Source organism: Homo sapiens, chromosome 15 (genome assembly GCF_000001405.40).
Source record: "Homo sapiens chromosome 15, GRCh38.p14 Primary Assembly".
Taxonomy (NCBI): Eukaryota; Metazoa; Chordata; class Mammalia; order Primates; family Hominidae; genus Homo; species Homo sapiens.
The window spans coordinates 93093914-93108156 of record NC_000015.10 but is presented as its reverse complement, the minus strand read 5'-3'; the positions used below and the strand labels follow the sequence as shown (position 1 = coordinate 93108156).

Below are 14243 nucleotides of genomic sequence, written 5' to 3'. Positions count from 1 at the left end.
CACATTGTCTTTATCTAATCCACCATTGATGGGCACCTATGTTGATTCCATGCTTTTGCAATTGTGAGGAGCACTACAGTGAACATACAGGTGCATGCGTTCATTTGGTAGAACGATTTATTTACCTGTGGATCTATACCCCATAATGGGATTGCTGGGTTGAATGGCAGCTCAACTCAGTTCTTTGAGAAATCTCCAAACTGCTCTCCACAAAGGCTACACTCATTTACACTCCCACCAACAGTGTATCAATGTCCCGTTCTCTCCACAGCCTTGACAACATCTGTTATTTTTTGGCTTTTTAGCAAAAGCCAATCAGACTGGCATAAGATGGTATCTCATTGTGGTTTTGATTTGCATTTCTCTGAAGATTAGAGATGAGCATTTTTTCATATGTTTGTTGGCTACCTGGATGTCTTCTGAGAAGTGTCTGTTCATGTCCTTTGCCTCCTTTTTAATGGGGTTGTTTTTTGCTTTTTAATTTGTTTACATCCTTACTTTTCCTCTTCAGCTTTCCCTCCAAACCTGCTCAGGCCCCTGGATCACAGGACCCTCCCCTGCACCAAGGCAGCTTCTCCTGTGGGCTGAATGGTGCCTCCTGTCCACAGTCCAGCCAGCCCCACCCGAGGGGACACCCACCTGAATCTGGCAGCACTGCCTCCTCGTTAGGGCAGTGCCACAGGAGTCCTGGTTCCTCCACAGCTCAGCTAAGGAAAGGGCCTTTCCAGCATTTGAAGTGAGTTCAGGCTTCACATCCTTTGAGGGCTTTATTCTTTGGGGCACACTGCAAAAGTCAATTTTCCATTAAAACAGGACATCACAGTTACATGAAAAGCAGTAGATCTAATGATCGGATGATTTCACAGATAACAGGGAAAAAACTGGAAAGACAAACATGCATTTGGAAGCTTTTTACTTTACCAGGAAAGGATATTTTTAGCTGGACACAGTGGCTCACGCCTGAAATCCCAGCACTTTGGGAGGCTGTGATGGGGAGATCACTTGAAATCAGGAGTTTGAGACCAGCCTGGCCAACGTGGTGAAACCCTGTCTCTTCTAAACATACAAAAAAATTAGCTAGGCGTGGTGGTGGGTGCCTGTAATCCCAGCTACTTGGGAGGCTGAGGAAGAAGAATCGCTTGTATCTGGGAGGCAAAGGTTGAGGTGAGCCAAGATTGTGCCACCGCATTCCAGCCTGGGTGACACAGTGTGAGACTCTTTCTCCAAAAAAAAAAAAAAAAAAAAAAAAGGATATTTTTACAACAACAACTTTCTACTATCACCATCATTTCTTTCTTTCTTTCTTTCTTTCTTTTTTCTTTTTTGAGACGGAGTCTCGCTCTGTCGCCCAGGCTGGAGTGCAGTGGCACGATCTCCGCTCACTGCAAGCTCTGCCTCCTGGGTTCATGCCATTCTCCTGCCTCAGCCTCCCGAGTAGCTGGGACTACAGGCACCCACCACCACGCCCAGATAATTTTTTGTATTTTTAGTAGAGATGGGGTTTCACCTGTTAGCCAGGATGCTCTGGATCTCCTGACCTCGTGATCCGCACGCCTCAGCCTCCCAAAGTGCTGGGATTACAGGTGTGAGCCACCGCGCCCGGCCTCATCATTTCTTTTCAGAAAGAATACTTGAACTCATGCACACAGTCGTGCTTGCTCGTGACTATGCATGCTTGTGTACGTATGCACACACAAAAAAAAACCCTCAGAGTAAAGTGTAAAGAACAGCCCTTTCATTGACAATGTAGAGCTTCCTGGAAAGCCGATCACTGTTTAAGAGCACTGGAGTGGGGGTACCAGTCCCCTCCCATAGCCGTATACGGGGACCTAGCTTGCATCCCCATCTTCTCTCACCAAAGATGCGTGTGTCTCAGACCCCAGTCTCCTGCTGTAAACTTCTCCAGTAAATGTACATAAGAAGGAATCAACTCCTCTGCAAGTCACACCTTCCTGAAAAACAAGAGCAGAAAAATTAAAGACTAACAACAAAAATATTGTTTTCGCTATTTGACCATTGTTAACCACCTCCTAAATATGGATTTCCATACTCAGTCTAAGTCCGAAGCTGTTGATTCTATCTTGGTGATGATAGAGGTTTGGCCCAAAGCTTGGCTGGCCCTGTGATGTGGCCTGCTCCAGTGTTAACTGTAGAAGGAAATGCTTTTGCTTATATCTTATGATGAGGCCTAAATCACTCCAGATGTCCTTCAAAGACCCAGGAAGGCATCTCCCCAACTAGTCTACAATGCTTTGGGTGCTCAATAAATACCCATGTAATTGGTTGGCTTTGGTCAGCTCTGAGCAGTTCTGCAGAATGGAGAAATCAACACTTTCATTCTGATAAAGGTGCTGATGCCTAAGTTGTTTGCCAAGCAGGAGATTCCCATTGATATTCAGAAGCAATTTGTAAGGGTTTGGAAGCCTTTGAGAGGGGTGCACCAGTGACTGGGATTGTATAAAGCCCGGCCTCTTAGTCACTGTTGACTTCTCTTCACACAGGTTCCTCACTCCCCAGCAGCCAATTTGTATTCTAATGGTGAGGAAGGAGAGGGCCTCTTGGGAGCTTAGAGTGCATGGCAAGAATCAATTTCCCTCATTCTTGCAAATGTTCTCCCACCTAAATGTGAGTCTCTGAGGATGAAAGAGGAAACCCATAACCAAGAATAACGCGCGAAGATGATGCGCTTATTTTAAAAAAAGAGTCAAGGAGAGGAACAAAAGAATTAAATACAATAAGTAGAAGAAAAATGTTCAACACCATTGGTAATTTTTTAAAACATGAATTGATACAACAAGATGACATTTTTAGTGCATCCGATTGGCAAAATAAAAAATGATAATAGTCCTTCTCCGAGGGCCTGGGGAACCTGGCACTCTCATGCCCCGTCAGAGGACATAAAAACAATCGCAGTTTCCCTAGAAGTCAGTTTTGCTTTATATATCAAATCTTAGAAGTAGACTATCCTTTAAATCAATTATTTCACATGTATAAATGTATTCTAGGAAATAATGAAGAATGTGCAAAGACGTCTCTATATAAGGATATTCACTAAATATTCAACAGCAGGAAGTTGTTTACATTGGTTATGGTATCTAAGTAATGGAATACTGTGAGCATATAGTAATTGTGTATTCGTTGAAGTGGAAAGAAGTTCAAAATACAGAGTTAAATTTTGAAAGGGTTACAAGCAGTAAAGTTACATATATTTTTTTAAATTAACTCCGTTCATTCAAAAAGTATTCCTAAGCAAACAGGATACATCAGAGATCAAGATAGGCAGTTCCCTGCTTTTATAAAGATTGCATTTATTGGGGCGATGGGGTCTGGGAATTGGGTAACAACAAATAAGTATATTAGTGAGAAAACTATAAAATTGTGTTAATGGCTGTGTAGAGAATTAAAGTAGGCTGACGTGATAGAGGTCACTCTAAGATTTTATACTGAAGTGTGGATTACTAAAAGCACAAAGTGTCGAGATTTCTCCAGGAAGGGAAAATAGTCGTCCAAGGTCCTGAGGCAGGAGAAAGATTTAAATGATATGTTTATATACAGCTGGACCACGTGGCTAAAGCAAAGTGGAAGAGGGGAAGAGTGGCAGATGCAGTCAGGGAGGGGAGGTCACATTGCATGGGGCTTGGTAAACCAGGGTAAGGAGCTGGGGTTTTATTCTGCATTGCTGCAGGAAGACACTACAGGTCTCAAACAGGAGACATATCTCATTAATGTTTCTAAATTTCACTCTTGCTCTTGTGTGAAAGGATGGATTTGAGAGCATAAGAATGAAGGCAGAGGGAACGGTCAGTCATCAGTCCAGAGAAGGCTCAAAGGTCACCTGGACCAGGGAAGGAGGTACAGGAGAGAAACAGATGCAGTCAGGATTTAATTTGGAGTTAGTACCAGCTGTTTTTGCTAATGGATTGAGGGCTCCTCAAATTCCCTCCTCTTTCCTCCTTTTGCCTTCAAATTCCAGTTCTTCCCTACAAAGATCCATCTATAATTCCTGCCTTTGGGTTCTCTGAGATGACCTGGACCTCAAATTAAATCTCCCTTTTCTCAAGCTAACTCAAGCTGGTTTTCATTTCTTGCAACCATGACTAAGGTATCAAGCACCTGTTGTGTTACAATCCTCCCAATTGCTATTTAAGGAAGGCACAGCAGTTGAAGCAAGCCATGGTCAGAGAGATGAGGCAGCTTATCCAGTTTAAAATGACAGAGCAAGGATTCGAACCCACGTCTTCAGGGTCCAGAGCCAGCACTTCCTCTTCTATGCCATGCTAGATCAATGAGATGCACCCAGCTTCTAGTTGTCTACCAAATATTGCTAGTTGTCCACAAAATCTAAGCTCCCTTGTTTCCTAACAGTAAAACAATGGCTGCCCAAGTGCATTAATTTCCCAGCCTCCCTTTCAGCTAGATGGGCACATATGACTTAACAGGAGAGGAAGTAAGGATGCAAGAAGAGCCCTGTTTCCTCCACACCCTTTACCTTTCCTACAGGCTACAGCCCAGGCTTGGCAGTAACACAGCTTAAATTATGCAGATCACAATAATTGTGGATTATTGTGGAACAATGACTAATAAGGAACATGAATCCCTGAATGACCACATGGAGCTGAATCTCCCACCAGTCTCAAAAGCTCACCCTGGACTGTTGCAATTGAAATTACTGGACTGTTATATGAGAAATACATAAACTTTAGTCAGGTTATTATTGGGTCTCTTTGTTGTAGCAGTCCAGCTTTACCCTAACTGATATATAACCTCAACATGATCTGCATATTTAAAAATACTAGTGGCCACTTTTGTTAAAAAATAATTGAGCTTCTCAAGCAAATCCTCCAGACATTGGGTAGATCCTTGAGTATCCCCATTCCCACATTCATGGCTGAATTTGTCTAATCTGTAGAATAGACTCAATGCCTGGGTACTCTCTTAGGAGAACCTTTAAAACCTGTTGTTGGTTGGAAACTCAACAACAAGACCTCCATGCATGAGTTATGAGAATTTATTTATATCAGCCAGTGAGATCTCTTCCAAAGGGCTCGAACTTTGGTGACCACCCTAAGATCCCTGGCAGCAGGTATGACATAGTCACTTCCTGGAATCTCATCTGAGTGCTCTAGGAAATCCACTGTCTCCCTGAGCTTCCCGGTGATTCACAAGGTGGGCAGAGCCCACCAGAAGAACAATGCACCGGCAGAGCTTGTCTATGGACAGTGGGTGCATTGACTGGAGGTGACAGTACCACATTCATACTCCACTAGCTTTGGCAGTGCTGCAGAAAGTGGGGTACAAGCTTGCTCCCCATAGTGTTTCTCCATCAAGCCTAGCAGGAGAGGTGAGGAGACAGTAAGGAAAATGAGCCACATGCCTAGTGGAAAATGCACTGGTTTTGGATTCAGGTGGACATGGATTCTAATCCTGACCCTACCACTTGTTCATCCATTCACTTAGCTTTTGGAACCTCAGTTTCCTAGAAAATGGGAATACTCCTACCCACCTCATACAGTGGTCATGAGGACTGAGACAGAGTCTACGATATATATAGAAAGAGTTTGCAGGGAAGGAGCGCAGTCAATAATAGCAAAACAAATTCCAAACTGATCCAGCCTTGATATAAAGAAGTTGGTAAGCCTTGCCCTCCCTGCCAAGCCACCATGAAGGGAGCACGTGAGCCGGCTGGCCCCAAGGTCTCTCAGTTGTCAAGGACAGGCTTCTGTGGGTGCTGTTATGGGGCTGGGAGATGTGCTCGCTGACCACATCCCAGCTGTTCTCCTGCCACTGTGGTTACCCAAACCCTGCAACTATGTTCATGTATAAACCAGTCAGCAAATCACACAGTCAAAGCCTCACGGAAAAGTCCGCTTTCTGGTCACCCTTTTCTCTCGTCCAAATTCATGAAACAACCATGAAAAATGTGTTTGCTTTCTATTCCTGTGGCTGATAGTTTACTGAATAACAACAACAACAACAAAATCTTTTTTTTTTTTTTTTTGCCTTGATTATGGTCCTTACCACGACATAGCAAATGACTGGCCTGTGGGAGAAAAGGCTAAAGAGAAACATAATGAATTAACTAAGTTTTCTTTTCTTTTCATGGGCCCAAGCACTGGGTTTTTGGCTGAAATGCATGCACATACTATCAAATATGGAAAATCAGGTGATTGACTGGGTATAATTTTGCGGCTCCCTCTCATGCTGAAGCCATGATGGTGGGTCCAATCCCATGGTTGGTCTGATCATCATCCACCCCAAACCCTTTTAAGCTTTTCCTTGTGATGTTACCATTGCCACTTACCACCTCTGCCACTCTGATACTCTTCCATTTCCCACTTCTGAAAAGCGTTTTTTTTTTTTTTGAGACGTTATCTCGCTCTGTCGCCCAGGCTAGAGTGCAGTGGTGTGATCTTGGCTCACTGCAACCTCCACCTCCCGAGTTCAAGCGAATCTCCTGCCTCAGCCTCCTGAGTAGCTGGGACCACAGGCACTTGCCATCACGCCCAGTTAGTTGTTTGTATTTTTAATAGAGACAGGGTTTCACCGTGTTAGCCAGGATGGTCTCGATCTCCTGACCTCATAATCCACCTGCCTCAGCCTCCCAAAGTGCTGGGATTACAGGCGTGAGCCACCGCGCCCAGCTTCTGCAAACCATTTGAGACTTCCAGCAGCCCTGTACTTCCCCTGTCCTCTTAGCACCCTCTCATGCTCTCAATAACAGTGTATCAAGATTAGTAGAATCTGGCCAGGCACAGTTGCTCATGCCTGTAATCCCAGCCTTTGGGAGGCCGAGGTGAGTGGATCATCTGAGGTCAGGAGTTTGAGACCAGCCTGGCCAACATGGAGAAACCCCATCTCTACTAAAAATACAAAAATTAGCCAGGTATGGTGGCATGTGCCTGTAATCCCAGCTACTTGGGAGGCTGAGGCAGGAGAATCGCTTGAACCCGGGAGGCAGAGGTTGCAGTGAGCCGAGATTAATAGAATTGGAAGATTAGTAGAATCTTCCAAGCTTGGGGTCTTATGCCTGTAATCCAGCACTTTGGGAGGCCAAGATGGGTGGATTGCTTGAGCTCAGGAGTTTGAGACCAGCCTGGGCAACACTGCAAAACCCTATCTCTAGAAAGATTAGCCAGGCATAGTGGCACACACCTGTAGTCTCAGCTACTCAGGAGGCTGAGGTGGGAGGATCACCTGAGCCTAGGAGGTCAAGGCTACAGTAAGCCGTGATCACACCACTGCATTCTGGCCTAGGTGACAGAGAAAGACCCCATCTCAAAAAAAAAAAAAAAAAAAAAAAAAAAAAAAAAAAAAAAAAAAGATGAGTAGAATCTTCTAGCTAGTCTTCTGCCTTCTGTTTCTCTAAATCATTTTCCATTAGACCTCCCTAAAGTGCAGCTCCACTTACATTATTCCTCTGCTCCATAACCTTCAGTGGCTCCCTATTGCTCACTCGGCAGCCAAGGTGCTCCGTAAGATGGTCCTATGTTATCAATTTGTTTAATACAGTTGCTGCCTCGCCACCCACTTTTAGGCCCAATGTAAATTGTTGGAAACTCAGTTGTACCCCGTCACCTTTGGGTGAGTTAAAACTTCCCCTCCCTATGTGGTTGTGTGCGACATGGCCTTATTGCTCCTCATCTCACTGACACAGAACCCAGCTCCCCCCACAGCTGCTGATCAGGATAAAACCTATTGATCAATACCAGAGTCATGTAAATAAGATCTCCCCTCAGAGCATGTTTTCTTTTTTCTTTTTGAGATGGAGTTTCGCTCTTGTTGCCCAGGCTGGAGTGCAGTGGCTCAATCTCGGCTCACTGCAAACTCTGCCCTCCGGGTTCAAGCAATTCTCCTGCCTCTGCCTCCCAAGTAGCTGGGACTACAGGCACGCACCACCACGCCCAGCTAATTTTTGTATTTTTAGTAGAGAGGGTTTCACCATGTTGGCCAGAATGGTCTTGATCTCCTGACCTCATGATCCACTCACCTCAGCCTCCCAAAGTGCTGGGATTACAGGCATGAGCCACCATGCCCGGCCACGTTTTCTTTAAACTCACCAATCCACAACCCCATAGGGAAAGCCTAGGGAATAACACCCATGGACCTAAATAAAGGCCTGGTCCCATGGATCCTCTCTCTTTCCTCCTGCCCCTCACCAGCTAGTTGAGCTCCCTGTCACCTCCAGACTTCCCCTGGGCCTCCCATGGGCACCCCTAACCTCTCCAGGAGCTGTTTTTCTTCTGCTTCATGCATGTGGGTGTCACCTCCTCATTGTGTCTCACCTGAATGATACACCTGCACCCAACTTTCCCCTGCCAGGGCTTTCCTAGAGTGGCTATCTTGGCTTTTGGCCACTCTAAATAGACCAAATTAGAAAGAAACCATTACAACAAAAATCACATGCCGGGACCGGGGGCTCACGCCTATAATCCCAGCACTTTGGGAGGCTGAGGCGGGCAGATCATGAGGTCAGGAGATCGAGACCATCCTGGCCAACATGGTGAAACCCAGTCTCTACTAAAATTACAAAAATTAGCTGGGCGTGGCACACGCATAGTAATCCCACTACTCGGGAGGCTGAGGCAGGAGAATCGTTTGAACCCGGGAGGCGGAGGTTGCAGTAAGCCGAGATCACGCCACTGCACTTCAGCCTGGCAACAGAGCGAGACTCCGTCTCAGAAAAAAAAAAATCACAACAACTGGCACTGTGAGCAGGGTGTGTGGCCATGACCACAAAGGGCAGGACAGAATGCCTTTTGCCTGCTCCTGCTCACTAGCCATGTGGCTGACCCCATCTGAGGAGGCCCCAGGGCTCACTAGTGTGGGTCCCCACTGCTGTATGCTGCAGCCTGTGGTCTTTGTTGAGTGTTGCCAAGACTCCCCTCCCTAAGTTGGGTGCGTCCTAGAAATTCCAAGTGGTTCTTGGGATGCCCCCCTCTGCCAATGGACCCCATGCTCAACTGCCAGCCTTAATAGGACACTCCCCTGAGTGGGAAGTTCTGGTGAGGGTTCTATTGACTATATTCAGAAGGCCTGATGGCTTGTTACTGAGAAGCAGAAGGGGGTCACCTCTGCCCTGGAGCTGTCAGGTGGACACTGGGCCAGCACAAAGGCCTAGCAGGGTGCAAAAGGGAGGCCCACACTCTGACTACCCACTGAGATGGGGAGGCAGTATCTAGAGAGGTCACTAGGCTTCCCAGACTGACAACAAAGACTTCCCAGACTGACAACAAAGTGTCCCCCTTCATGTAGGTGATGGCAGTCACTGGCAGCAGTTCTGCCGGTGTCTGCAAGCCCTATATTGCTTCGTTCCCTTGCTTCTGTCACTCTTCATTGCCCCCTGACCCTAATGAGGTCAACCGGGACACCCTAAGAGGGAGGTGGCTGCCTACAAATGATCCTGATGAGAAACACAAATGGAGGCCACTGCTCACCATGAGGGCCAGTTAGGACCAGCAGGAGCGCATCAGGTCAACATCTAAAAACAAAGGAAAAAAAAATTTTTTTTTTAGCTGCCTAAAAATATAAGCCATTCTAAAGATTTTGCTTAATGAAAAAAAGGAAAGGGACTGCTGTGGTTTGAATGTGTCCCCCAAAGTTCATGTGTTGGAAACTCAATCCCCAATGCAACAGTGCTGGGAGGTGGGACCTTAAAGACATGATTGAGCCTTGTGGGCTCTGCCCTCATAAATGAATTAATGCCATTGTCGTGGGAATGGACTTGTTATTGTGGAGGTGGGTTCCCTACAAAAGGAGTTCAGCCTCCTTCCCCACACTCACACACCCTCTCACCATGTGATGCCTTCTGCCATATTATGACACAGCAAGAAGGCCCTGACCAGATGCAGGCCCTCAGTCTTGGACTGCCCAGCCTCCAGAACTATAAGAAATAAATCTCTGTTCTTTGTAAACTAACCAGTCTCAGATCTTCTGTTATAGCAGCACAAAACAGACCAAGGCAGAAACTGATCATCATGCAGGAAGGGGGCATCCCAGAGAGAGGCCACTGCCTAGAAGCACCAGCCCCTTACTCCCTGCCCTCTGCATCCTCTCATCAACTAGAGGCAGAAACAAAGACTCTCAGCTTCTGGCGGCCTGAGCCTAAAACAAAACAAAACAAAACAAAAGGCAGGGGGGTGGGAATGCTGCCACTTAAAAAAAAATGTATGTACCAAGTCAATGCTAGGTCTAGCAAACATAATGAAAGCTCTAGACCATTTATTGATTTAAAAACAAACTCCCCTAGATACAACGGAGAAGGGAGTTAAAAGTAATTAAATAAATTATATATACACATATATAATATTTTAATATGAACACATAATAAATAGATTCTATAGTATATGTATAACATATAACTACATTAAAACAAGTTACTATGAGGCCGGGCGTGGTGGCTCATGCCTGTAATCCCAGCCCTTTGGGAGGCTGAGGCGGGTGGATCACCTGAGGTCGGGAGTTCAAGACCAGCCTGATCAACATGGAGAAACACTGACTCTACTAAAAATACAAAAGTAGCCGGGCATGGTGGCACCTGCCTGTAATCCCAGCTACTCAGGAGGCTGAGGCAGGAGAATCACTTGAACCCCGGAGGCAGAGGTTGCGGTGAGCCAAGATCGTGCCACTGCACTCCAGCATGGGCAACAAGAGCGAAACTCCATCTCAAAAAAAAAAAAAAAAAAGTGGGGGCCGGGCGAGGTGGCTCACGCCTATAATCCCAGCACTTTGGGAGGCCGAGGCAGGCAGATCATGAGGTCAGGAGATCAAGACCATCCTGGCTAACACGTTGAAACCCCGTCTCTACTAAAATTACAAAAATTAGCCGGGCGTGGTGGTGGGCGCCTGTAGTCCCAGCTACTTGGGAGGCTGAGGCAGGAGAATGGCATTTACCCAGGAGGCAGAGGTTGCAGTGAGCCGAGATCACGCCACTGCACTCCAGCCTGGGTAACAGAGCGAGACTCCATCTCAAAAAAAAAAAAAAAAAAAAAAGTTACTATGATTTGATCCAATTGATCCAATTGGAAATTCAAATTGTATATATAAATTTATATACTAAATAATTTAACAAAAATATTTCAAAGGGCATGGATTGGCTTTTGCGCTTCTACAACACAGGTTCTCACTTGACTTTAACATTTGCTAAAATGTACCAATTGGCAAAAGTTCCTGGGCTTAGTCAATACTGGGGCTCAAATCATAGTTATACCTGGAGATCTCAGTAAATTTAAACACTGTGCCTCTACCATCTTAAAAAATAGCTAAATATAAAATAGAGAAAAATAAATATGCATCATTTTAACTGTAGCCTTGCCTAAATTTCCTATAGTCATGCACCCATTGCTGTAATATAGTCTATATTAAGCACAGATGCTCTGATACAATAAATAATAAATTAAGCCGGCATGACGGCTCGTGCGTGTAATCCCAGCACTATGGGAGGCCAAGGTGGGAGGATTGCTTGAGCCCAAGATTTCAAGACCAGTCTGGGCAACATGGCAAAACTCCATCCCTACCAAAGATACAAAAATTAGCCAGGCACGGTGGCGCGTTCCTGTAGTCCCAGCTACCTAGGCTGAGGTGGGAGGATCACTTGAGCCCAGGAAGTTGAGGCTGCAGTGAGCCATGATTATGCCACTGCACTCCAGCCTGGGTGACAGAGTAAGACCCTGTCTCAAAAAAATAATAATAATAATAATTGTAAATTAAAGTAAGTTTTTGGCACTTACAAATTGGCTTGATAAAATAAAATCCCATGAACCTCCAGTTAACATGGTCAATTCACAAAGGCCTAATGTAAGTTAAATCAGGATCTTTAAGGATTCAAACTTACTATATACAGCCTAATTAATAAAGGGGTAATGATCTCCACTGTCCCTCCATTTGACAGCCATTTTTGCCTGTTCTTAAATGTAGAAAAAATTAAGGGTGCCTCATAGTGGATTACTACAACCTTTACACCATGTTCCTATTCATTACGGCCTCCATACCCAATTCCCAATACTATGACTAATTCTAGTCAATGACTGGTGAATATTGAGCTCTTATACATTTGGCTAACATGTTCAGTTTTGGGCCTATTTCAACAGCCTCTCGGATGCAGTTTGCCTCCACCTCCAAAAGGGCACAACACACATTTTCCAGTCTACCCACAGGGCACCTCAAGGGCTTTGTCATCACACACAGTCTCTGAAGACAGGATCTTAAGGACATCCACCTTCCTTGGGAGCACAGGCATGACATTACATTGAGGCGATCCTCCTTCAGGAAGGCTCATTTGACACACTTGTAAGGACGTGTAAGTCCAGTATCTCTTAGTACTTTTAGGGTTCTGGTGGCAACATATTCCTCATTTATAAATTTTACTTATAAATTAAAATCAACAGGCAATCTCACTAGCACCTTCAAAAATAAAAGGTAGGCCGGATGTGGTGACTCACACCTGTAATCCCAGCACTTTGGGAGGCCAAGGTGGGCAGATCACCTGAGGTCAGGAGTTCAAGACCAGCCTGGCCAACGTGATGAAACCCCATCTCTACTAAAAATACAAAAAAAAAAAAAAATTAGCCAGGCATGGTGGCAGACACGTGTAATCCCAGCTACTGGGGAAGCTGAGGCAGGAGAATCGCTTGAACTCAGGAGGCAGAGGTTGCAGTGAGCTGAGACTGCGCCACTACACTCCAGCCTGGGTGACAGAGTGAGACTCTGTCTCAAAAAATAATAATAATAAAATAAAAAATAAAAGGCTTTGGCAACCTCTTCTCATGCCTCATGGTGTCTACGGACCACTTATGATGGCCATTGGTTGCCCCACAACTTCTGATAGCAAAAATTGCCCCTCTTGGCCTTGTCCTACATTCCACTAAAACAGCCAACTGCTGGCTACCCTCTGGGTTCTCCTGCAAACAGAGGCTCTCACAGTCCCTGAGCCTGTGACTCTGCATTCCCAACTTCCTGTTATGCTGTGGGTCATGGAACCTGTACCCCCACCAGCTCAGCACAGCTATAATGGCCTCCCTAAGACAGGATGGATCAAAACCTGGGCCCCCTGGCATATTCCACCTACAGGAGGGGGTGCCTTCCTTGTTCTCAGCCCCTTTTCATATGCCAGAGTGTTGGAAGAGCTCACCCCTTTTACAGAGCCCTTGGCTACCTGAAAGCTCATGAGATTCCCTGAGTGAACAGTAATGGGAGTTTGTAGACTGTACAGATGGCACTGCTGACCATCCTATGTGGTGGAACTTGGTGGAATGTTACCGCCTCCCATCCCTTAGCTAAGATGTCCCTGATAAAGGATGGGACCCAAGAAACAGACTTGGCCAAGCTTCAGGGAGTCATCTTGGCCCTGGATGCCCTGGCCAACAAATGGTCAAATTGATTAGAAACAATCAGGTCATTCTCTAGAAATTGTCCCCTTCAAGGTAAAGAGCTCTGGGATATTGTTGCCTCACAGATACCCAAAAGACATCAAAATCACACATTTCCCCACATTCTAAGGCCACACTATAAGGCCTTTCCAGAACACTTTTAATTCCCTTCAAAGTTACAGACATCACTGGTAGTAACCAAAACACATTTTACTTCTTAGAATACACCATGATGCTGGGCTCTTGAGAAAGGCATTCACTAGAACTTTCATGCCCCTGACAGGTCCCTGATAACCAGTTTAACTCCAAGACACAGTGATGTTTTCAAATAACCTCTTTTCCAATTCCAGTCCAACACATAAATCACTAAAATTCTCTATCTTGCCCCAGGCGTTAACCTACTTTTTATAAATCTTCTATCTTCCATCTTACCCCCATCCCATAAGATTGAGGGAACATGCTCTCCTAGAACTCATTAACTGTGGACCAACAGGCAGGCAGCTGCTCATCTGATACAGAACCCACTTAAAATTAAACTTCCACCAAAACCAAACCAAACAGAAGCCCTGCCAGGGAGAGCTGCCCACGTCTGTTGACTGCTGATCTTATTACTACTGCTTTGGATACTTTCACTGGTTTACAGTCCGGAGGTCTACAGCATCCATTCCAGGGGACACCCACTCAAAAAAGAGACCACAGTCCCATATCCCAGACAACATCACCCTAGCCCAAAATCCAACTGCTGGAAATGACAGTGCCTCAGATAACATTGCTCCAACCCAAGACTTCAGTCGATGCTGGAGATGACCTCACGTCCTGTACCAGACATGACTTCGCCTCTTACAGTGAAACCTCCACCCGGCAGTGCTTGCCAATGGA

At 45.5% G+C, this 14243-nt stretch overlaps 1 long non-coding RNA gene across 2 annotated transcripts in view, besides 2 other annotated features; it reads right to left on the bottom strand.

The window, feature by feature from the left end:
• The window catches only part of LOC101927025 (uncharacterized), an 83190-nt gene that overhangs the window by 64247 nt on the left and 4700 nt on the right, over positions 1–14243 (bottom strand). For both annotated transcript variants that reach the window (XR_007064769.1, XR_243235.4), the window contains exons 2-3: positions 1857–1952; positions 640–784 (exon numbers count right to left, since the gene is read on the bottom strand). This is a non-coding gene — a long non-coding RNA (uncharacterized LOC101927025). The remainder of the gene's footprint in view (positions 1–639; positions 785–1856; positions 1953–14243) is intronic.
• Positions 2005–2714: an enhancer, noted in NCBI's record as "OCT4-NANOG hESC enhancer chr15:93648672-93649381 (GRCh37/hg19 assembly coordinates)". NCBI's record gives its function as "activates a minimal SCP1, AML or CMV promoter by ChIP-STARR-seq in naive H9 embryonic stem cells {active_cell/tissue: H9 hESC(naive)}" and the evidence as "EXISTENCE:reporter gene assay evidence [ECO:0000049][PMID:30033119]".
• Positions 2303–2597: a silencer, noted in NCBI's record as "tiled region #8863; HepG2 Repressive non-DNase unmatched - State 22:ReprW". NCBI's record gives its function as "represses a minimal TATA promoter and a strong SV40 promoter by Sharpr-MPRA in HepG2 cells {active_cell/tissue: HepG2}" and the evidence as "EXISTENCE:reporter gene assay evidence [ECO:0000049][PMID:27701403]".